General features: G+C 43.8%; 2 long non-coding RNA genes across 4 annotated transcripts in view, besides 3 other annotated features; one reads left to right on the plus strand and one right to left on the minus strand.

The window, feature by feature from the left end:
- The window catches only part of LOC105372790 (uncharacterized), a 69,113-nt gene that overhangs the window by 20,124 nt on the left and 24,670 nt on the right, over window positions 1-24,319 (plus strand). The window lies entirely within an intron of this gene.
- On the minus strand, window positions 12,986-16,077 carry LOC105372789 (uncharacterized). 2 transcript variants are annotated; one of them, XR_937678.4, is made up of 3 exons: window positions 15,781-16,077; window positions 14,482-14,609; window positions 12,986-14,253 (listed from the first exon to the last, which is right to left on the minus strand). It is a non-coding gene; the product is annotated as an uncharacterized LOC105372789 (long non-coding RNA). The 2 variants fall into 2 exon arrangements; XR_937679.4 differs by having other exon boundaries at window positions 14,482-14,589; window positions 15,781-16,057.
- Window positions 15,302-15,491: an enhancer, noted in NCBI's record as "active region_18389". NCBI's record gives its function as "activates an Ori minimal core promoter by ATAC-STARR-seq in GM12878 lymphoblastoid cells {active_cell/tissue: GM12878}" and the evidence as "EXISTENCE:reporter gene assay evidence [ECO:0000049][PMID:35858748]".
- Window positions 15,889-16,048: an enhancer, noted in NCBI's record as "active region_18390". NCBI's record gives its function as "activates an Ori minimal core promoter by ATAC-STARR-seq in GM12878 lymphoblastoid cells {active_cell/tissue: GM12878}" and the evidence as "EXISTENCE:reporter gene assay evidence [ECO:0000049][PMID:35858748]".
- Window positions 17,522-17,701: an enhancer, noted in NCBI's record as "active region_18391". NCBI's record gives its function as "activates an Ori minimal core promoter by ATAC-STARR-seq in GM12878 lymphoblastoid cells {active_cell/tissue: GM12878}" and the evidence as "EXISTENCE:reporter gene assay evidence [ECO:0000049][PMID:35858748]".

Here is a 24,319-nt window from a genome sequence, read left to right on the forward strand (position 1 = left end):
AGAGATTTTCTGAGTTCCATGTGAGCAACGCCGCTTCCTTCCCATCCCCGAGTGATTCCCCTTGTCAAAGAAAAAAGACACAACCAAAAGGGAGAGCTGCCATCCTTTCAGGTCCCTTCTTGTTCTTCGTCTCACTGAATTCACCCCTAAATGCTTTGAAGTATTCTCCATGACTGTTTCATCAACTGAGGAAAGGAGGCCCAGAATGGCTTAGAAACTTGCTAACTGGTTTAGAAGAAGAACTGAGATTCAAATGCTTTGCAGTGTAGGTCTGCTTCTGCCACAAAATGGCAGCCAGGGGAGGAAGGAGAAAGTGAGGAAAGGGGGAAAATTAGCGCTCGGGCTTTGTCAGATCTCAGGAGAGGCGGACGCTGGCTAAGCCCCATCGCCTTATCTTTATTTTGTGAGAAGCAAACTGTGGGGTTTGGTTGCAAGAGAAGATCTTACTAGGGACCAGTTGCAGGGTGTATTAATCAGGGGTTTCCAGAGAAACAGAACTAATAGGATCTATCTGCCTGTCATCTCTCTCTCTCTCTCCTATCTATCTATCTATCTATCTATCATCTATCTATCTATCATCTATCTATCTATCTATCTATCTATCTATCTATCATCTAATCTATCATCTATCTATCTATTCATCATCTATTTATCAACTATCATCTCTCATCTATCAACTATTTGTTTGCCATCTATTATCTATCTATCATCTATTTATCTATTAATCATCTATTTATTAACTATCAATCTATCATCTGTCATCCATCAACTATTTATCTGTCTATCCATTCTCTATCTATCTGTCTCTCTGTCTGTCAATCAGTCAGTCAATCCATCGCCAGAATTGGCTCACATTATTATGGAGGCTGAGAAGTCCCACAATCTGATCTACCATCTGAAAGCTGGAGACCCAGGAAAGCTGGTGGTGTAATTCAGTCCTGGGAATGGAGGTGGTGGGAGGATACTGGCGTCAGTTCCAGACTCTAAAGGCTCGAGAACCAGGAGCTCCAAAGTTCAAGGGCAGGAAAAAATGAATGTCCCAGTTGAAGATGAGAAAACAAATTCACCCTTCCTCTGCCATTGTGTTCTATTCAGGCCCTCAATGGATGGGATGAGGCCTACACACACTGCTGAGGGCTCTCTTCTTTGCTCAGCCGACCAATTCAAACGCTCATCTTTTCCAGAAACACCCTCATAGACACACCCAGGAATAATCTTTTACCAGCTATCTGGGCATCCCTTAGCCCAGTCAAGTTGACACATTAAAATTAACCATCCTACAGGGATTTCCTACCGTTTTGGGGAAGCCATCTTTTCATGGCTTCCTTCCAGAGGAAAATTCCTGCTATATGCTTGACAGAAAGAACAAAACCCCAAACATACAAAAAGACCAGTCTGTGGAATGTAGACAATTTGGGTCAGATGTGGTTCCCTGCCTAGAGGAGCCAGTGAGATGAGCCATTTCCATCCACCAAAGATGGGCTTGAAATGTGGTCTACCTTTCAACATGGTGCCACTGAGGGCTTCTGAGCTGGCTGTGATCATCTGACAAAACGCTGTGTTGGCCAACTCATAGAAGAGTTTGCTAGCTGGCCTGGCCCCAAGCAGAAGCAGCAGGTTACTGCCCAAATTCTCCAAGTGGGATGACCAGCGGCTATATAAAGGGCAAACAAACAAGAAAGCCTTTCTTTCTGAGAATGTTTCCACTGCAGTTAGGTTAGAAAATGATCCAGGGAAGATATAAACTAGCCCTTTCATTTAGCAAAATAAAATGCCTATCCGCTTGGTAATCTGTGCAGTGGAAGTCAGAGCCAGAGTCTTGTTTTTAAAGATTTTGTTTAATTCACCACCCCCATACCTCCCCTCCCACTGCCTAGCATCAGGCTGGACAAGAAGAAAAGGGACACTGGCCTGCAGATGCTGCCACGTGACATGTCCTTATAGAATAGCTTCTGTGACATTTGTATTAAGTAACCACAGGAAAAAAGGTGAGGTGTTGATGACAGAAGGCATCTGTATTTTCTGGGGTTGGGTTCCAGTTTTAATGAATATGGATAATGCACAAAACATCTCATTTTTCGGAGCTGTGTTTTTTCATTAAACACTGCCACTCTGCATGGGAAAGGAACTGGACATTCCTGACACATTATTTGGCAGGTCTCAATCGCAAGTGCTCCAATATTGGCTTTCGGAAACCCATTCCAGATTTGGCCCAGATTGTCAAATCTTGTCCAGAGCACCAAGTCAAAAGGTGCCTCTAAGCCCTGGGCAGAGTGCCAGGCTCTGAAAAACACTGGCTGGATCTCCTCAGGGACCCTGGCTGAGACAGGCGAGTGATTTGTTCTTCAAATGACCTTTCCCTCCTTGGAAAAGAGCACCCGGAATAAAAGTGCAAGATGTGCTTCAGATGTCCCCCAAGAGTTTAACACAAGCAGAGGTATTGAGGGGCTTCTGTGTATTGACCAAAGAAGAAACATTTTTTTGGCTGGGCATGGTGGCTTACGCCTGTAATCTCAGCACTTTGGGAGGCTGAGGCGGGTGGATCACCTGAGGTCAGGAGTTCGAGACCAGCCTGGCCAACATGGTGAAACTCCCATCTCTACCCACAAATACAAAAATTCGCCAGGCATCACCTGTAATCCCAGCTACTCGGGAGGCTGAGGCAGGAGAATTGCTTGAACCCGGGAGGCGGAGGTTGCAGTGAGTGTGGTGGTGGGCACCTGTAATCTCAGCTACTCAGGAGGCTAAGGCAGGGGAATCAATTGATCCGATCTTGGCTGCAGTGAGCCAAGATCGAACCACTGCACCCCAGCCTCGGCAACAGAGCAAGACTCCATCTCAAAAACAAAAACAAATGAACAAACGAACAAAAAGAAACATTTTTTCCCTGTGGTAGGATGTCTGCCCTCAAGCAGTGAACCCAACTACTGTAGAACTGGTGGCACCTGTCCAATTAAAAATGACATTTGCTTTAAGGTAAAAATATATTATATATTAGGGTTGGGGCTCTGTCTTCTCCTGAGTAGTGTGTCATCCAGCATTTTTCAAAGCATGGTCTGGAGACCCTCCTACATCAGAATCAGGGGACGTGTTTCAATTACAAATTTCTGACCAAACCACCTACCAAATACGTGGGAACTAGAGCTAAGAATTTTCACTGTACCAAGCTCCAGGAAATCCTGATATACCCCAAAGTTTGTGAGCCATTGGATGTAAAAAACCACATACATATATATAAAATTGTTGTTGTTTGTTTGTTTTTGAGATGGAGTCTTGCTCTGTCTCCCAGGCTGGAGTGCAATGGCGCTATCTTGGCTCACTGCAACCTCTGCCTCCTGGGTTCAAGCCATTCTCTTGTCTCAGCCTCCTGAGTAGCTGGGATTACAGGCATGAGCCACCACACCCAGCTAATTTTTGTATTTTTGGTAGAGATGGGATTTCACCATGTTGGCCAGGCTGGTCTTGAACTCCTGACCTCAAGTGATCTGCCCACCTCAGCCTCCCAAAGGGCTGGGATTACAGGTGTGAGCCACCACACCTGGCCCCCTTCATATATTTTAAAGCCATTAAAGCAAGCTGTGATGGACAATAAGATTGGTTTCTTTTGCTCACATCCATGTGAACTTATTTAATTGTGTGTCTGTGGTAGTGAAACTTTGAACCACAAAAGACAGGGACTACTTTAAGCCTTCGCTTTTGCAGATTGATACGTGTATCTCGTCCTTTTGCAGTTACTTGTCATTATCTGCCTAAGAATAGTATTTCTAAGAAGTTGTTTCTGTGTATCTTCTGGGGAAGAATTTGTCCTTCAGTTACATGTGATTGCAACATGTTGATAAAAGCAAAAGAAAAGCAATAAAATCATTTGGTTGAATATCTCATTTCTTTGAAGCCAAACAGTTTTTGAGTGATAAGAAAGCAATTCAGTGGAACTTACTGTTCAGCATCTTACAGAACAGGATTCATATGTACTTGTGTATTCACATGCGAATTCATGCACACATTATCACCTAAGAGAGTCTGAGTGTCCTGGTCCTCAAAGTATGTGGTTTTCAGAATTTACACTGTATACAAATCTAGAACGACATTTGCTGCCTAAAGGACAATGACGTTAGATCTACACAGCAAGAGTTGAATAGAGCTTTGTTCATCTTCTCACAAATTTGGGTGGATCTAAATTGCTTATTTTAGGACAATTTAAACTTCCTAGTTTAAAACTTTATGGTTATCTGGTTAACTTAGGTGAAGTCTATTACATTAGACAGCAATGAAAGCAAATGAGCCACCCGCCAAGTAACAAATGGACCTTTAACCAAATATTCCTAAATATTCCAAATATTCCTAAATCACTACAAAACGCTTCTCTAAAATCCCCAAAACTGTTCCATCCAGGGACAATATAAAGTCAACAGGACCCTATGAAGATGCCAGTGCTAAACCAAAGTCAGAACATGTTTCTTCTTATGAACAATGGAATCTTTTATCCATAACGGGGTCTCTTTTTAGTTTGCCTGGTAAATCTAGAAATACCAGGGTGACCCCCACTGAGACATCATAGTACCCAAAGGAAAATGTTGCTTCCTTCATTCTGTGACCATAGAGAGTTTAAAAGTGTGTAGCCAAAACTTTTGTTAGTTTTAGAGGAGATGCATCTAATGATTTTGCTGTGGTTGTTAGGCCAGAAGTTCATTTAGAGTTCATCTATGCCTCTAGATCATTCTCCCAGGTCCTCTTACAACTTCCTGGCTCAATCATAGTGGTAAGGTCCACCTTGTTCAACTCCCATGTTCCTAAGCAACATTAACTACTATGACGTGAAATCAGGAAGACAATTGCAAAGTGCTTTCAAAATGTGTGTGTGTGTGTGTGTTTGTGTGTGTGTGTAGGAGAATGAAAAAAAATCAGGTCTTAAGACATTGCAGAGGCCAGGCACGGTGGCTCACACCTGTAATCCCAGCACTTTGGGAGGCCGAGATGGGCAGATCACCTGAGGTCAGGAGTTCAAGACCAGCCTGGCCAACATGGTGAAACCCATCTCTAGAAAAATACAAAAATTAGCCAGGCGTGATGATGGGTACCTGTAATCCCAACCTGCTTGGGAAGCTGAGGTGGGAGAATCGCTTGAACCCGGGCGGTGGAGGTTGCAGTGAGCCAAGATTGTGACATTGCACTCCAGCCTGGGAGACAGAGCAAGACTCCGTCTCAAAAAAAAAAAAAAAAAAAAAAAAAAAGACAGCAGAGTTTAACAAGGAAATTGAAATCTACTCTAAGTATTTTAAAAGAGGGTATTAGAAAACACTCTGCTATGTCTCAGGTGAAACAGAGAGTATTTAATTTAATTTAATGTATTTACTTAGAGATAGGGTCTTGTTCTGTCCTCCAGGTTGGAATGCAGTGGCATAATCACAGCTCACTGCAGCCTTAAAGTCTTGGGTTCAGGTGCTCCTCCTGCCTCAGCATCCTGAGTAGCTGGGATTACAGGCAGGCACCACCACACATGGCTAATTTTTATTTTATTTTTTAAGGAGGATATCGCTATGTTGCCCAGCCTGGTCTTGAACTCCTGGGCTCAAGTGATCCTTCCATCTCGGCCTCCCAAAGTGTTGAGGTTGCAGGCATGAACCACCGCTTTGGCCAACAGACGGTATTTATGTAACTGCCCAAGGGGTTCTCCTTGCCAGCTGCCTAGACAGAGCCTATTTATCAAGACAGGGGAATTGCAATAGAGAAAGAGTGATTCACGCAGAGTCAGCTATGCGGGAGACCAGAGTTTTATTATTACTCAAATCAGTCTCTCCAAGCATTCGTGGAGCAGAGCTTTTAAGGACATCTTGGTGAGTGGGGGCGTGGGAGGCTAGTGAACCAGGAGTGCTGATTGGTCACAGATGAAATCATAGGGAGTCAAAGCTATCTTTTTGCACTGAGTCAGTAACCTGGGCAGGGGCCACAGGATCAGATGAGCCAGCTTATCAGTCTGGATGGTGCCGGCTGATCCATCAAGTGCAGAGTCTGCAAAATATCTGAAGCACTGATTTTAGGAGTGGTTTAGGGAGGGTCAGAATCTTGTAACCTCCAGCTGCATGACTCCTAAATAATTTTTTCTAATCTCGTGGCTAATGTTAGTCCTACAAAGGCAGTCTAGTCCCCAGGCAAGGAGGAGGTCTGCTTTGAGAAAGGGCTGTTATCATCTTTGTTTTAAACTATAAACTATAAACTGAGTTTCTCCCAAAGTTCATTCAGCCTACACCCAGGAATGAACAAGGACAGCTTGAAGGTTAGAAGCAAGATGGAGTTGATTGAGTTAGATCTCTTTCACTGTCTCAGTCATAATTTTGCAAAGGCGGTTTCATTTGCTACAAAGAATTGGTTCAGTGGGTGATAAAAGTTCTGAGAGGCCAAACAAAGGGCAGTGGAGGAACCCAGAAGTTGGTAACAGCAGGAAGCCACTATGTTTCTAGGCTTGCGAGTCAAAAGGAGGGGAGGTTGCCAGAGCCAGGAGCTGGGTTACTCAGCACCCACGGTGGGCATGTCTGGGAAGAACTGGAGTCACATGGGATCTGCAGGAGTGGCTGAGATACCTGGTGAGGTAGAGAGAGAAGGGGAGAGATCCTCTGGCTTCTCCTTTCTTCCCACTCTTAATCTCCTGACAATGCCCCGCTTAGCCAAACTCACCTGGAAGCCAGGAAAACACCATCTGCATGGGTCAGCCCCACTGACCAGCACAGGGGAAGAAGCACTGGATCTGACTGGCTCAGTGGTCCGTAAGGAATACGGCAGGACCGACTCCTGGCTGACAAAGGTGGGAGTCATTGAACTAGTGGAATTCTGGCCATCACCTCACGCACCTACTTCATGGCATGCTTTCATCTGAACCATTTTATTGCTTGAGGGTGATAATCCATGACCTTTAAAACACAGATATATCACTGGGTGTGGTGGCGTACACCTGTGGCCCCAGATACTTGGGAGGCTGAGGTGGGAGGATCCCTTGAGCCCAGGAGTTGGAGGCTGCTGTGAACTGTGATTATGCCACTGTACTCCAGGCTGGGTGACAGAGGGAGACTTTGTCTCAAAAAATAAATAAATAAATAATTAAAAAATTGAAAAAATAAAAATTGAAAGTTAAGAAAACCACAGATAAGTCACGGGCAGACCTTTATCAGAAACCACCGTGCTTGACTACCTGGGGCAGTGCTGTGGTTCTGCTGGGGGTTAGAAATGCAACTGGAAGGCCTTTGACGGCCACTAAGAGGGCCACACCTTTCGTTAATTCTCCTCTAGGATGTTCTTGGGAAACTGAGTTGAAGACTCTTCATGAACTCATATTGGTTCTTCTCAAGGAAGAGCCTCTGCCTATGGAGAGTTGTACTAACTTATACTCTTTAGAGGATATAATGACCTAATATAGGCAAGAAAATATAGTACTTATTATTAGAATAACAATCCATCTATAAAATGCATCTGTTATGGAAACACAGCTCATGGTGAGAACCGTAAATAGCTTTGTTTTCCATTTTCTATACTGCCTCCCCAACCAATACAGACAGTAATCAATCTGGAATGTCACTTACTTAATGGTATGATCTGGCCTTTAAAAAAAAATAAAAAAATAAAAATATAAAATAAAAAATAAAAATTTAATTTCAAAGCAATTTTCGATTTACAGAAGAATTGCAAGCATAGTAGAGAGAGTTCCCATAGGCCTCACATCCACTGTTTCCTGTTATTAACATCTTATGTAAGTAGAGTCCATTTGTCACAATTAATGAGCCAGGTACATTATTATTAACTAAATTCCACACTTGATTCGTATTTTCTTCAGGTTTTCCTAATGTCGTTTATGTACTGTTTTCTGTTTTAGGATCCCACTGGGGACACCACATTACCTTTAATCATGCCTCTTTAGGCTCCTTTTGGTTGTGACAGTTTCTCAGACTTTCTTGGTCTTTGGTGACCTTGACAGTTCCAAGGAACACTGTCACCTATTTGTTAGAATGCAGAGATGAGATTTGTTTGATGTTTTTCTGTTGATTAGACTGGGGTTATGGAGTTATGGGAAGACCAGAGAGGTGAAGTGTCATTTTCAGTAAATCATGTCAAGGAATGGGGATTAGAAATGCAACTGGAAGGCCTTTGACAGCCACTAAGAAGGCCACACCACATAACACCTACACGATTCATCACTGTTGATGTTGACCTTGATGACCTGGCTGAGGTAGTGCCCGTCAGACTTATCTAGTGCAAAGCTCCTCTTCCTCCATCCCTTCCATGCTGTACTCTTTGGAAGGAAGCCTTTTTTTTTGAGACAGAGTCTCGTTCTGTCGCCCAGGCTGGAGTGCAGTGGTATGATCTCGGCTCACTGCAACCTCTGCCTCCTGGGTTCAAGCAATTCTGCTGCCTCAGCCTCCTGAGTAGCTGGGATTACACGTACCTGTTACCATGCCCAGTTAATTTTTGTATTTTTAGTAGAGACAGGGTTTCACCATGTTGTCCAGGCTGGTCTCAAACTCCTGACCTCAGGTGATCTGCCTGCCTCGGCCTCCCAAAGTGCTCAGATTATAGGCATTAGCCACCACACCTGGCTGGAAGGAAGTCATTTTGAGTGATGCTCTACTTTTTTGAGGAGCAAATATCTACATGATTTATTTGGAATTCCTCTGCACTAGAGATTGGTCTATTCTTCCCGATTTATTATTTAAATATTTGGTCATTTATTTATATTAGTATTGGACTCATGAATACTTATTTTCTATTTGGGGTTATCATTCAATAGTACTTTATTTATTTGTTTTTGCTCAAATGGTTCCTGCTTTGGTCAGTAGGAGTTCTTTCAGTTGGCTCCTTTGTTCATTTGACACACTCCCCATCATTGTGGTTTTTTGGTATGCTTAGTTGTTTAGCATGTCATTACTTTGGCACTACAAAATGCCCCAGTCTTAGAATCAGCCATTTCTCCAGGGAGCCCTGGATAAGCCATTGCTAAAGAATCATTTTAGAAACCAAGATCTAGGTGCTAAATGTGTCCAACCTGGCCCCCCCCCCTTTTTTTTTTTGAGACAAGATTTCGCTCTGTTGCCCAAGCTGGAGTGTGGTGGTGCTATCTCGCCTCACCACAACCTCCGCCTCCTGGGCTCAAGCCATTCTTCCACTTCAGCCTCCTGAGTAGCTGGGACCACAAGTGTGTACCACTACACCTGGCTAATTTTTGTATTTTTTTTGTAGAGACAGGGTTTCTCCATGTTGCCCAGGCTGGTCTTGAACTCCTGAGCTTAAGCCATCCTCCCATCTCAGCTTCCTGAAGTTCTGGTATTACAGGTGTGAGCCACCATGCGTGGAGGCAGCCTGGCCACTTTTAATCTATCCATTCATTTACTAAATATACACATTTTCTGAGTCCCGATTTTGGGCAAGACTCTGGGGCAGGCAAGAAAAATGAGGTGCAACTAACTCTATTACTCCATGGTCCAAGAAGAGGGCTGCCTGCAAGCTATGAATAGAGCTTACAGAGTATTTAAAGGTGGAAAGAGACTTTGCTCCTGATTCTAGACTTTATCTCCTATCCTCAAGGTCCATGTCTTGGTAGCTCTGCTCAGATCTACCCTTCCAGAGTCTGTAATATAAGGCTGACCCGAGTTTGAATCCTAGCTCTGCCACTTAGTAGCCATGTGATGGAACAAGTGTCTTAACTGCACTGAACCTCAGTTTCCTCATCCTTAAATGGGGGGCAGTGATGCTAAAAGGAAGCCCCTCCAGAAGCCCTGGTGAAGATGAAAGGGAGGACTTGTGGAATGTCCAGCCCAGTGTCTGCAGAGCCAGGCACAGCAAATGCTGGTGAGCAACAAGGTGACAACAGTCAGTGTTCCTCTTGGGATATAATTAACTTTGGAGTACCAGCTGATTCCTAGGACAGAGTTGGAGAAGAGGATATAATTAACACGGGTGGTAAAGGCAGAGTCAAGGAAGTAGCTGTGGAGTGAGCTGATGCCTGGGGTCAAAGACAGGTCTGTCCTGCGGATGACATTTCTCTTGAGAAGTAAACCGTCAGCAATCAGGACCTAGGGGTCACCTAGCATTTGGTGGCTCAACACAAGCTCTAGTACCAGGAGGTATGGCATCTGCTACAAAAACAAAATGCAGTCGTCACAATTTGTGCTCATCAAAATGCATTAACATAGTTTCTGCCATCAAAACCTGCTTGACATTAAGAAGGGGTCCTCTTGCTAGGGTACCCAACCACAGAGCTGCTCCCTCAGAGGGTGAAAATATGCTTAACACAGGGCTTTCTGTTCTGGAAAGAAAACAGGACTTAAACTGAGCTGCTTCAGAGAGGGTTGAGAGCTTCTTTATGGAGCAGGCAAAGCATGGATGTCATGAACTTTCCTAACACACTAGGTGAGGGGCAGCCCTACAGCCCTGAGATAGAATGGCTTTTCCATTGGTTTTTCCAATACCCGAGGGAGGGCATGACTATCCCCATTGGTGTTTTTCCTTCACTTGAGAAGCATCTAGGCCAGTGATTCTCAAAGTGTGGTCCCTGGACCAGCAGCAGCAGTGTCACCTGGGAACTTGTTAGAAACACAACTTCTTGGGTTCCATCCCAGATCTACTTAATTAGGAACTCTGGGGCTGGGCATCACTCCTCTTTCCTGCCCACTGCAATCTATGTTTTAATAAACACTCCAGGTGAGTGACTAGGATGCCAGCTAAAGTTTAAGAACTGTATTAGTCCGTTTTCACACTGCTGATAAAGACCTACCTGAGACTGGGTAATTTATAAAGAAAAAGAGATTTAATGGACTCACAGTTCCACTTGGCTGGGGAGGCCTCATAATCATGGTGGAAGGCAAAAGGCATGTCTTACATGGCAGCAGGCAAGAGGAAAATGGGAGCCAAGCGAAAGGGGAAACCCCTTATAAAATCATCAGATCTCGTGCGACTTACTCACTATCACGAGAACGGTATTGGGGAACCGCCCCTGTGATTCAATTATCTCCCACTGGGTCCCTCCCATAACATGTGGGAATTAGGGGTGCTGCAATTCAAGATGAGCTTTGGGTGGGGACACAGCCAAACCATATCAAGAACAATTGATCCAAAGGCTGCAGGATTGTCCACAACTTTCCATTGGAATCCTAAAGACATTTGAAACTCTAAGGACTTTGAGGTAGAGATTGACTTTCTCTTGCATATGCCATTAAGTAGGTTTGCAGTAAATAGTTGTTGAATGGAGGCCGAGGTGAGCAGATCACTTGAGGTCAGGAGTTCGAGACCAGCCTGGCCAACAAGATGAAACCCCATCTCTACTAGAAATACAAAAATTAGCCAGGTTTGGTGGTGCACATCTGTAATCCCAGCTACTAGGGAGGCTGAGGCAAGAGAATTGCTTGGACCGGGGAGGCAGAGGTTGCAGTGAGCCGAGATTGCACCACTATACTCCAGCCTGAGTGACAGAGTAAGACTCTGTCTCCAAAAAAAAAAAAAAGTATCCAAAACCCTGACAACACCAAATGCTTATGATGATGTGGAGTAACTGGAACTATCATTGACTGCTGGCAGGAATGCAACATGGCAGTGTCACTTTGGAAGACAGTTTGGCAGTTTCTTACAAAACTAAACATATTCTTGCCATGTGGTCCAGCAATGACACTCATTGGTACTTACCCAAAGGAGTTGAAAATTTGTGTTCATGTTTATAGTAGCTTTATTTTTCATTGCCAAAATTTAGAAGCAACCAAGATGTCCTTCAATAGGCGAATGAATAAACAAACTGTGCTATATCCAGATGGTGGAATATTATTCAGCAATAAAAAAGAGCTATTGAGCCATGAAAAGACGCAGAGGAACTGTCATGCACATTGTTAAGTGAAAGAAGCCCATCTGAAAAGGCTACATACTATATGACTCCAAATATAAGACATTCTGGAAAAGGCAAAATGATGGAGACAGTAAAAAGATCAGTGGTCACCAGTGGTTCAGAAGGAGGGAGGGATGAATAAGTGTGTATTAGTCTCTTCTCACACTGCTATAAAGGAATACCTGAGACTGGGTAATTTATAAAGAAAAGAGGTTTAATTGGGTCATGGCTCAGCAGGCTGTACAGGAAGCATAACACAAGCATCTGCTTCTGGGGAGACCTCAGGAAGCTTCCAGTCATGGGGGAAGATGAAGGGGGAGCAGGTGTCTCACATGGCAGGAGCAGGAGCAAGAGAGAGAGAAGGGGGAGGTGCTACACACTTTTTTTTTCTTGAGATGGAGTCTTGCTCTGTCACCCAGGCTGGAGTGTAGTGGCACGATCTCAGCTCACTGCGACCTCCGCCTCCCAGGTTCAACCAATTCTCCTGCCTCAGCCTCCCGAGTAGCTAGGACTACAGGCATGTGCCACCACGCCCGGCTAATTTTTTGTATCTTTAGTAGAGATGGGGTTTCACCGTGTTAGCCAGGATGGTCTCGATCTCCTGACCTCGTGATCCGCCTGCCTCGGCCTCCCATAGTCCTGGGATTACAGGTGTGAGCCACCGCGCCCAGCCCACCACACACTTTTAAATAACCAGTTCTTGTGAGAACTCATTCATTACTTCAAGGACAGTACCAAGAGAACACTGCTAAACCATTCATGAGAAATCCAACCCCATGATCCAATCACCCCCCACCAGTCCCCATCTCTAACACTGGGGATTACATTTCAACGTGAGATTTGGGTGGAGACACAAATCCAAACTATAAAAAGGAGGAACACAGAGGATTTTTAGAGGTAGTGAAACTATTCTGCAGGATACTGTGATGGTGGATACATGTTATTAGACATTCTCAAACCCCACCGCATGTACAACACAAAGAGGGAACCCTAATGTAGGCTATGGACTTTAGTTAATAATAATGTATCGATATTGTGTCATCAATGGAAACAGATGTACCACATAAGTGCAAAGTATTAATAATAGGGGAAAATGGTGAGGGCATGTGGGGATACACAGGCTCTCTCTGTACTTGCTGATCAATTTTTCTGCGAACCCAAAATTACTCTAAAAATGTCTTTTGAAAAAATGGAATTAGGGAAGGTCAGAATGCCCTTTGATGAACAATCACTGTTTGGGCATTTGAATTAATATCCTGACGGACAGCAACTAGAGCCCTTTCCCAGGTATACTGTCAGATCTGGTTGTCCTTGACTTTCCCATGATCTCTTCTTGCTATTAAGCCTTACTACCAACACACTGGGGTCAGCTCCCTGGACACATGAGCATGCTGATTGAAGAGCATCTTGTTTTATTAGAAGCATAAGTTCTATCATCTGTTCTCCATAGTAAAGAGGGGTCTTTCTAGCTTCCAAGTATAGCAATGAATTCTGGATAGAATTGTATCTGGCCCTCTTTGTGAAATTCCAGATACTTGGGGGAATGTCCTGGGACACTGGAAGAAATTTTTTTTTTTTTTTTTTGATGAGATGGAGTCTCGCTCTGTCTCCTAGGCTGGAGTGCACTGGCGTAATCTCGGCTCACTGGAGCCTCTGCCTCCTGGGTTCAAGTGATTCTTCTACCTCAGCCTCCCGAGTAGCTGGGATTACAGGCATGTGCTACCACACCCAGCTAATTTTTGTATTTTTAGTAGAGATGGGGTTTCACCATGTTGGCCAGGCTGGTCTCGAACTCCTGACCTCAGATGATCCGCCCACCTTGGCCTCCCAAAGTGCTGGGATTACAGGGATGAGCCACGTGCCTGGCCTTCTTTTTTTCTTTTTGAGACAGTTTCACTCTTGTCACCCAGGATGGAGTGCAGTGGCGTGATCTCAGCTCAGTGCAACCTCCGACTCCCAGGTTCAAGTGATTCTCCTGCCTCAGCCTCCCACGTAGCTGGGACTACAGGCATGCGCCACCACATCCAGCTAATTTTTGTATTTTTAATAGAGACGGGGTTTCACCCTGTTGGCCAGGCTGGTCTTGAACTCCTGACCTCAAGTGATCCACCCACCTCGGTGTCCCAAAGTGCTGGGATTACAGGCGTGAGCCACTGCACGAGGCCTGATAAATTTCAATGATTTGACTGTTCTGGTGGATGAAGGCCTTGGATATTTCTCCTTGTAGGGGGAATCAGTTGTTCTGAAGAACTTTGGTGTTTGCCTTAAGATGATGAGTAGAAGCTTCTCTGTGACAACTGCATTTCACACTCATGAAAACATTCCAGTAATATTAACCACGTGGCTCTTGTAATCTTAAAAAGTCCCATATTGCTTCAGCAATTTTGTCAAGGGGGTTGCTAGGAAAAAAAGGGAGGGGTGGCAGAATGTCAATTTTCTTTAGGGTGGCAATAAGCTCAGCTAAGATTGTACATTTCTCAGATTCCTTGTAGTCAGGGGAGACCTTTGGCAATTCTGGCTAATGAGAAGTAAGCAGATGTTACAGGGTGGGGCTTCCAGGAAAGCTCTTTAAAAGAAGACAGAAAAAAAAAAAAATGTTGGTGTCAGGGGAATAAATTGGCACGCACCTTTCATCATCTGTTGTCCCATTTCTTCTCCCTGGAATGCTGATGCAATGCTGGAGGCAGAGTCGCCATTTTGTAGTCATGCGGTGACTGTGAGCACGAAGGCACAAACTAAGCAGGGAAACAAATAGCTAGAAGAAACATCAGTTATAGACACTGTTGTGCAGCTGCCATACCAATCCTGAATGGCTTACCACAGCAGCCCTTTACATGAGAAAAGCAAAGCCCCTAATTTGTGTAAGTTAATATTTTGGGAGTTTCTGTTACTTGCAGTCAAACCCAACATCTAACTGAATCAGAGGTATTTTCAGTCTACACTAGTGGTTGAGAGTATGGACTTTGAGGTCTGGCAGACCTACTGATATGTTGAGCTATGTGACCTTGGACATACTGCCTCACATTTCTCAGATGCTTCATTTGTAAGATGGAATCAACAACAGTACTAACCACTGGGTTGTTTTAAGGATAAGTTGATATATTTTAAGAGCTAATTAGCTCAGTGCCTGACACATACCAACAACTGACTAGATGTAGATGGTAGAGCGAAACTGAAGTTGCCTTCCAATACAGATAGAGGGTGCGCAGTTATGTACAAGAAGTTTTAAAACTAGGGCACAGGCTGGGTGTGGTGGCTCATGCCTGGTAATCCCAGCACTTTGGGAGGCCGAGGCAGGAGGATCACTTGAGGTCAGGAGTTTGAGACCAGCCTGGCCAACATGGTGAAACCTTATCTCTACTAAAAATACAAAAATTAGCTGGATGTGGTGGTGGGAACCTCTAAGCCCAGCTACTCAGGAGGCTAAGGCAGGAGAATCTCTTGAGCCCAGAAGGCAGAGGTTACAGTAAGCCGAGATTGTACCACTGCACTCCAGCCTTGGTGACAGAGTGAGGTCTTGTCTCAAAAAGCAAAAACAAAACCAAAACTAGGGCATGATTTGGCAGCACTGTGTCTTGGACACTGAATATTATACAGCTGCTGGACTTCATTGTCATGTGAAAAATCAAGGTCATCTGATGCTAAGTGGATCTGGCCAGGCCTACCCTCAGACTGGTATTCCCTCTCTCTGCCCCTTCTAGGGGTCTATGGCTACAGATCATTGTAGGAAAACTATCTGACTCAACATATAGCCCTCCTTACTGGCTAAGGAGAATTAGGCAGTTATGCAGAGAGGACAGGCTGTAATGCATGTTCCATGGCCATCCCTTGACTCGGTTGCACCCAAAATGGACATCCAACACAAAGAGCCCATTTTGAAGGCTGGCCAGAGGCTGACCAAGGGTCCTAGTAGGAAAATTTCTTACCTCTGAGATGGCTGTTTCAAATGTTCTCATCTCTCCTTAGAACTCCTTCCCTTTCTCATTCCCATCTGATGATATTGCTTCTCATTGATTGTAGTGAGAAAATAGAAGCAATTGGAGGAGAACTGATTTATTCTCTCAGAACTGAATCTCTGCCCCTTGGCCCTGCCTTCCTTCCTGTTCCCAGGGATGAACTGGACCTGCTCCTTGCAGAGGAGAGCACTTCACCAGGGCACTGGGACCGTGTCCTCTTGCCACTCTGGAAAACCACTTCTCTCTCTCCTGTATCATGACATACAACTGTACCTTTCTTCTGGATCATTCTCTATGCAAATGAGCTCTAACCTCTCCATCTTAACAACACAACAACCTTCTCCCTTGAGGCTGAGCCCCTCCCTGCTCCCTTCTCACTGCTGTGCTTCCCTTTACAGCCACACACCTGGCCTGTCCTCACTGTTCTGAAAGTGCACTCATCAAGGTCACCAGTGACTCTTTTGTTGCCAAATGCAATGGCCAGTTCTGAGTCCTTGGTTTACCCAAACTTCAGCAGCATTTCACCCAAATGATTACTCCCTTTTTGAAAAACTGTCTCCACTTGCTGTCTTCAGTGTGAGAAATAGACAATAACCAATATTAATACCTTTATAACATAATGTGAACTCCATTATGGTGAGGGCTTTATTTCATTTACAGCTATATTCCTAGCATCCAGAATGGTGCCTGTTACATATAAGGCATGCAGTATATTTGTTGAATGGATGAATCTGGATCAGAGGTGAGCAAAGTGCAGATCACAGACCAAATCTGGCCCATTGCCTGTTTTGTATATAAAGTTTTATTGGAACACAGCTATCCTCATGCATTTGTGGATTGTACAAGGCTGCTTTCACACATCGGCAGAGTTGAATAGCTGTGACAGTGACTGTGTGACCTGCAAGGGCAAACATATCTACTATCTGGCCTTTTACAGCAAAACTTTGCTGACCCCTGATTTAGATAACTACTTCAACTTCCACTACATGCTGTGTGGGCAAGACCCTGACCCCACATGACCAATGAGAGAAAGTTCACATGGAAGAAACACAGCTGCCTCTTTCACCAGGAGCATTCTCAGGATTTGTCCATGGCCAAGGGCTGAGAAGGACTCTCTATGTAAATATAATAAAAGGGTATGGGGTGAAGATGGAAGCAAAAAAACAATTAATCCGTATTAATAAGAAAAACATTCCTGTGCAACCATTTTATATCATGCACTTTGCATATATGTTTCACTGAATGCTCCTATAATCCAGTGAGGCAGGCACTGTCATTTCCATTTTGCAGATGAGGAAATGAAAGCAAATGCAAGTTAAATGTTTTGCTGAAGGTCACAGAGCTACAGAATATCAGAAAAGGGGTAGCTGATGCCAGTACCAGGAATAGACCCTTGGGGCAGGGAGCAGCTGTGATAACCACAAGCACACACAGGGTTGTGATGACATGCAAGTGCTGTTCCCAGTCTGCCCATCTGTCTTGGGAAATCAAGGCCTAGGAAGATGGACTGACTTGCCCAAGGCCACCTGGCCGTGGTAAACGGCACAGCAGGACTTGATCTCACAGTCTGGCTTTAGACTCAGTTCCTCACTACTCTCCTGTAATGCATGACAGGTCCTTGATGAATAGCCGTTAAGCAAATAAACGAATTTGAAGGCAAATTTGTGGAATCCCAGCCAGTGCCTCTGCCTCCACCCTGCAGAGGCCACCCTTCTAAGGTTCAGAGGGCTCAGCAGCATCTGCTTAGAGTAGAGCTGGCAAGAAGGGGGAGGTGTTGTCGTAGAAATTACTAGAACATTTCAGGATTTATTCATTCTCTGTCTACATTTTTGTCTCTCTTGGGGCAGTGCCCATTTCCCTGGGGAAACTATCATTTCAATAACTGGTGATAACATCTGTCTTTAAACTTGTGAACCACTTGTAGAGATGTATTTCAGAAGGGAACTAAGGCTTCCGGTTTTAGGGCAGTTTCTTCCAAAATCATTGAAGTTGCTTTCTTACTCAATCCTGGCTACAGGTTTGAATTGTGCAACAAAATGTATCCCCCAACAGACTACTGTACAAATTATGCCCTCCATTGGGAGGTGAATTTTTTTCCCCTGTCAAAGTTACTTAACTTAAAAAAATTGGGATTTGATGTATTTCTCTTTCAAAATCAGATAAAGCCATCAATTTTATGTACATTTGGCCAGCTCTCAAGAGTGGGACAGGGGTATTCTAGAGAGGAAGCATTCTCTGCTCAGTAAGGCATGTTTTCGATTTTCTGGTTGTGGGGTAAAATTAATGATATCTTTCCTTCTGTATTAATCAACTCAGATTGCCGTAAGAAGATACTATAGATTGTGTGGCTAAACCAACAGACATGCATTTTTCACAGTTCTGGAGGCAGGAAGGTGAAGGTGCCAGCTGATTGGCTTCCAAGTAAGGCCTCTCTTCCTGACTTGCAGATGGCCGCCTTCTCGCTGTGTCCTCACATGGCCTTTCCTTAGTTTGTGCATATAGCAGGGCTGGGGTGGGAGTTGGGAGTGAGGGAGAGAGAGAGGAATTTCTCTTCCTCCTCTTATAAGGCAACCAATTCTATTGGGTTAGGGCCCCACCCTTCTGACCTCATTTAACCTTAATTATCTCCTAAATGCCCTATCTCCAGATACAATCTCACTGTGGGGATTGAGGCTTCAACATATAAATTTTGAGGACAACACAATTCAATCCCTCTCCTGGGACCCTGAGAACCATCCCATGTGACCTGATACTGTGAAAGTTTGCAAGCTGACTGCAAATATTGTTCAATCTGGTTTTGAGACCATGATTAACATGCTTCCATGTAGGAAGATCCCAAACTCTATTCTTTAGTTTCAAGTCCTTGCACACATGAGGAAAAAATTGTGTGCATTGTGCAGCAGTTAGTAGTTTTTCTGAATATTCCATACAGTAATAATAGCTTTGCTTAAAAGGTACCAGACACCCTACTACACCTTTTGTATCTCTAAGCATTTTGTATTATCTTTTAATCCTTTTCACAACCTTGTGACAGATGAAACAGTTATTATTATTCCCAGTTTATGGATGAAGAAACTCAGGTTTAGATAAGCTAGGTAACTTGCTCAAGAGAACACAACTAGGAAATGACTCAATTCAGGTTTGAACCCAGCACTGTGTAATTCCAAGGTATTCTCCTAACCACACTCCGTGTCTCCCAGTTGTTGATGAAACGTATACTTCCAAATACTTCATTCCACAATCATCAGGAATGATGGTTCAGCTTAATGCTTTAAAATTAACCTCTGGCTGAGAAGAAGTTAATTCAGTTTGGTTTAGTTCTTGCTTTTATTCAGATTTATCTTATCCATGTATTTTGGTTAGTAACCATTGAGGCAAAGGGATATTGCTCTGAAAAGCCACTCCTAACTTAAAACATTTTGCTTTTATTAGAATGTCAAAAAGGTTTTTGGTAAAAGACACTTCTAAAAAAAATCAGTGGAGAATGGTAATGGTGCCATTTCCCATTCTGTAATTTATTTTAATGACTGTCTTCTCTCATCTGTGTCGAGAGTGTCCTAAGGCAATTTTATGGGTTTTTTTAATTAAAAATTTTGCTCACTTTTCAGAAACCAAAAGAGAAAACTATCACAGAAAATGTTTTTCTCTTCTGTTTGTTCTGTGTTTCAAGTACTATGTTTCTATCATGATTAAAGTCATTTTTTTTTTGTCAAAGAAGTCCAGCTGTTTGAACCATCTGAACCGGAAGAGTGGAAAGGAATTGAGGTGTTTCTCCCTCCTTCTAGAAAGTTAAGGGTAGCAGAATTTGAACACCACAAGCCTCAGAGAGAAGTGACAGAGGTGAGGACAGATGACCTAATTGGTTATTCCTAGTTATTAGAATTAGGCGGCTTATCTCTTTTTTCCTAAATGTTTATACCTATGGGAGAATTTTCCAGCTTCCTGGGAACACAATTTTTTTTCTTTCTCGAGAGAGATAAGTGTGTTTACTCTCTGCAGTATCTATTCAACTGCAAGGAAGTATTGCAGGGCAGAAGCAAGCTCTTCAATACAAAGCAGCTCATTTCAAAGCATCCAGGCTTACTTTTGTTGTCTGTGCCTATTCATCCTATAAACTGCTCTTCATCAAAATAGTTAACTCTCCCCTGTTCTGCCCCCATCCACTCTTGAGAATGAGGGGATGGCAGGAAACCATCAATACAAAAATCTATGTGGCAACAACAACCATTTGGCCTGTTGAGAGGTGCTTATGCAGAAAGAAACACAAGAAAACAAAGAGGAAGTGTGTGAACTTCTGACCCTCTTTGCCACATGCCATTTGGTGGGTGGGTGGCATGAGCAAGCATCCTGCAGTGGGTGTTTTTATGGGACCAAGTGACAAAGAGCCAAACAGGGTGAGAACTCATGAGTAGCAAGTGGAAAACTACCAAGAGCTGTCCCATCACTCCTGCAACAAACTTCACCTCGCTCAAGGGAGGGTAGCTGAGGCTCCCTTCTCCAAATCCTGCAAGACACAGGCACTCTGATGGGGCCAGCTCTTCACTGCATGGGAGGGCTTTTGTTGAACAGTGAGTTTCTGTGCCCCGCTCCCTTTTTGGCCCCTTTTGCCCAAGTGGAGTGACACTTTATCAATTGGGGGGGCAGGCAACGAATAGAGGATATTAATGATTGCTAACGGACCCCCATCTGCTGTTCCGCCTGCAGCTTTTATGAAACCCACATTTTAAAATTAACACATGGAAAAGACAGTCTTAGCTCAAAAGTGTCAGCTAGGAAAGGAATTCAATTGATCCCCACTCTGTAGTTGTCTGAGTGGATCTGCTAAATGTGGACTTGCAGGAGGGCAAGAATTGTTCTGAAAACTGATATGAGAACACAGGCCAGCCTGTGCAGTGGCTACATCAAGGAATTCCAGAAGGTTTTACCTTTGGATTTAAATGTTGGCTTTAGCATTTGGTGGAAGTTTTCTGGGGAGATGAGAATATGATAACTCAGGGAGGAACAGTAAAAATTGGCTGAGGACGGCTAATGCCCTGGGGTTAGTGGTTTGCGTTTTCTTAGAACATGCAGGAAGGCAGGGGGCTTTTCTAGAAAGCACTCTGGGTCTGAAGATGTGAGAGCTGTGATTGAGCTGGGTTTAGCCTTTATTGTGACACTCTGGGCAAGAAACTTAACTTTTCTGAGTGTCTGTTAAAAGGTGACAATAAGACCCACATCTCTCAAACGAGACAGTGGGTGAGAAAGTGATTTGTAACACAGGACATTACAATAAATACTACATAAATTTTTTGTATAATAAAACTTGTAAATAATGTAGGCTGTCAATGCATCCGTTTGTTCAAGGAACATATATCTACAAGGAGCTGTTGATATACAATAAATAACAGACTCAGTCTCTGTCCTCACAAAGTTTACAGTTGACACTCACACGCAAACACAAAAGTCCTTTAAAGTGCGGTAAGTGCTATGATGGGTAAATAAAGGCTTCATAGAAGTTTATAAAGATGACGCCTACCCTGGTCTTGGGAAATTTCCAGGAGGCTTCCAGGAGGGAGTAATGTTCAAGCCAGGCTTAAATGCCATCTCCTCGGTGAGGACTCTCATGTACTGCTTAGTTAAAAACTTAACCCCTTACCCTCCTGTTTTATTTTTCTTTAAAGCACTAGCGCTATCTGATGCACTCCCTGTATTCACTTGCTGATAGTTTGTGTCTGTCTCTCTTAACCAAAGTGGAAGCTCATGAAGTGAGATATTTTTCTGTTTTGTTTTCTACCGCATCCTCTGCGCCTAGGATAGGTTATGACACATAGCAGGCACTCAAGATATGTTTGTGGAATAAATGAATATAAAATGTAAGTGTGATTTGGGCAGCCAGGAGAGCTGGAAATAATATTCCAGGAGCAGAAAACCATAAGCAAAGACCAGGAGGCCAAGTGTAGGTGGCTTGGTTTGGCTGGAGTATTAACATGTGAGGGTGGAATATGGAGAGATCAGACTGGGGAAGTAGGTAAGGCCAGATGGTGAAGGGTCTTGTAAGCCAAGTTCAAGGGCTTGGACCTTATTCTGAGGGTTGTAAGGACAGTTGAAGTATTTAATATGGAAGTGATAAGATCTGAGTTTCCACACAGCTTGGGACAGGGAGACCATGGGGAAGCTTCTTTCCTAGTCGAGGAGCAAGACAATGATGACCTGAACTAGGACTATGGCAATGGGGAGAGGGATTAGAAGGGATTGGAAGGGACAGGCCCTGACAGTTGATTGGCAGTGGGGAATGAAGGTGAGGGAAGCTCAGTGATCGGGTGGAGGCAATTCAAGTGACCTCATGGGTGGTGGTCCATTCATGGACATGGGGAAGACAGCAGCAGAAGCAAGTTTGGGATGAAGATGATGAGTTTTCAGTGTGGAACTTTTAGCTGAGTATGTTTTGTGAGCGTTTCTGTGTGAGTCAGTCTAGAAATGGCAACTGAAGCCATAGATGTTTGGAATTTTCCAGCTAAGAGAGAAAAGGAGTAGGCTTAGGAAAAGCCCCAGAAGACACTAATGGCAGAAGGATGGACAGAAGGAGAGAAGCCCAAGAAGGAATGTGGGAAAAAGATTTCGAGGGGGTCTAAGGAGGACCAGGAATAGATGGTATCGCAAGGAGAGAAGGGCTTGCCAGGTCAAGTTAGATATAAAAGTGTTATGGGTTTAAAATGTGTCCCCCAAAACGAAATGTGGAAGTTCTAATCTCTGGTACCTGTGACCTCATTTAGAGGTCATGAATTTGCAGATATAATCAAGTAAAGATGAGGTCATGCTAGATTAGGGTGGGCCCTAATCTTATAAAAAGAGGGAAATTTGGACACGGAGACACAAGCAAGGCAATGTGAAGACAGAGGCAGAGTTTGGCATGATGCCACCATAACCCGAGGAAAGCCAAGGAAGGAGGGCAACCACCAGGACTAGGAAGAGGCAGGGAAGTCTCCCTCCCGAGAGCCTTCAGAGGGAGCGTGGCCTTGTCAACACCATGATTTTAGACTTCTGGCCCCCAAACTGTGAGACAATATGTTTCTGCTGTTTCAAGCTACCTGGTTTGTGGTAATCTGTTATAGCAGTCCTACAAAACTAATACAGGAAGGGAAAGTATCCACAGATGTAGCAACAAGGAAGTCATAAGAAACCGTGGTAAAACTAGCTTCAGTCTAGCAGTGAGGGAGACTCAGACTGGAGAGGGTGGTAAAGCTAATGACAGGGGGAGAAATGGAGACCAGGTCTAAGCAAGTCTCCCCAAGCCTGGCTACGCAGGGAGAGAGAGAAGTCTACAGTAGCTAGAAGATGTCAATGAAATCTATCGAACGATCTACCAAATGATCTATCTATCTATCATCTATCTATCTATCTATCTATCTATCTATCTATCTATCTATCTATCATCTATCTATCTTGAGATTTTTTTTTTTTTTTTGAGACAGAGTCTCACTCTGTTTCCCAGGCTGGAGTGCAGTGGTGTGATGTCAGCTCACTGCAACCTTCTCCACCTCCCGGGTTCAAGCAATTCTCATGCCTCAGCCTCGTGAGTAGCTGGGAATTACAGGCACACACCACCTTGCCCAGCTAATTTTTTGTATTTTAGTAGAGACGGGGTTTCACCATGTTGCCCAGGCTGGTCTCAAACTCCTGAGCTCAGGCAATCTGCCCACCTCGGCCTCCTAAAGTGCTAGGATTACAGGTATGAGCCACCATGCCCAGCCCTCTCCTCTATCGATATCTATCTATCTATCTATCTATCTATCTATCTATCTATCTATCTATCTTCTATTTATATCTATCTATCTATCTATCTTCTATTTATATCTATCTATCTATCTATCTATCTATCTATCTATCTATCTATCTATCTATCTTCTATTTATATCTATCTATCTATCTTCTATTTATATCTATCTATCTATCTATCTATCTAATCTATCTATCTACCTACCTATGTATCTATAATCTATCTATCTATCCATCCCTCTAACTACCTACCTATTTTAAGTAACTAATTAACATATCCATCACCTTACATAGTTACTATTTGTGTCTGTTTTTAAGTGGTGAGAACACTTAATGATCAACTCTCTTAGCAAATTTAGCATATTCAATACAGTATTACTCACTATAGTCACTATGCTGCACATTAGCTCCCCAGAATGCACTGCTCCTCTATAACTGGAACTTTGTACCCTTTGACCAATATTTCTCCATTTCTCCCACTGCCCCCTCAGCCCCTGACAACCAGCATGCTACTCTCTGCTTTTATCAGTTGCACTTTTCTTTTGGTTGTTTTTGAGACGGAGTCTCCCTCTGTCACCCAGGCTGGAGTGCAGTGACGCGATGTCGGCTCACTGCTACCTCCGCCTCCCGGTTTCAAGCGACTCTCCTGTCTCAGCCTCCCGAGTAGCTGGGAGTACAGGTGCATGCCACCACGCCCAGCTAATTTTTGTATCTTTAGTAGAGACCGGGTTTCACCATGTTGGTCAGGCTGGTC

Source organism: Homo sapiens, chromosome 21, assembly GCF_000001405.40.
Source record: "Homo sapiens chromosome 21, GRCh38.p14 Primary Assembly".
NCBI classification, from domain to species: Eukaryota; Metazoa; Chordata; class Mammalia; order Primates; family Hominidae; genus Homo; species Homo sapiens.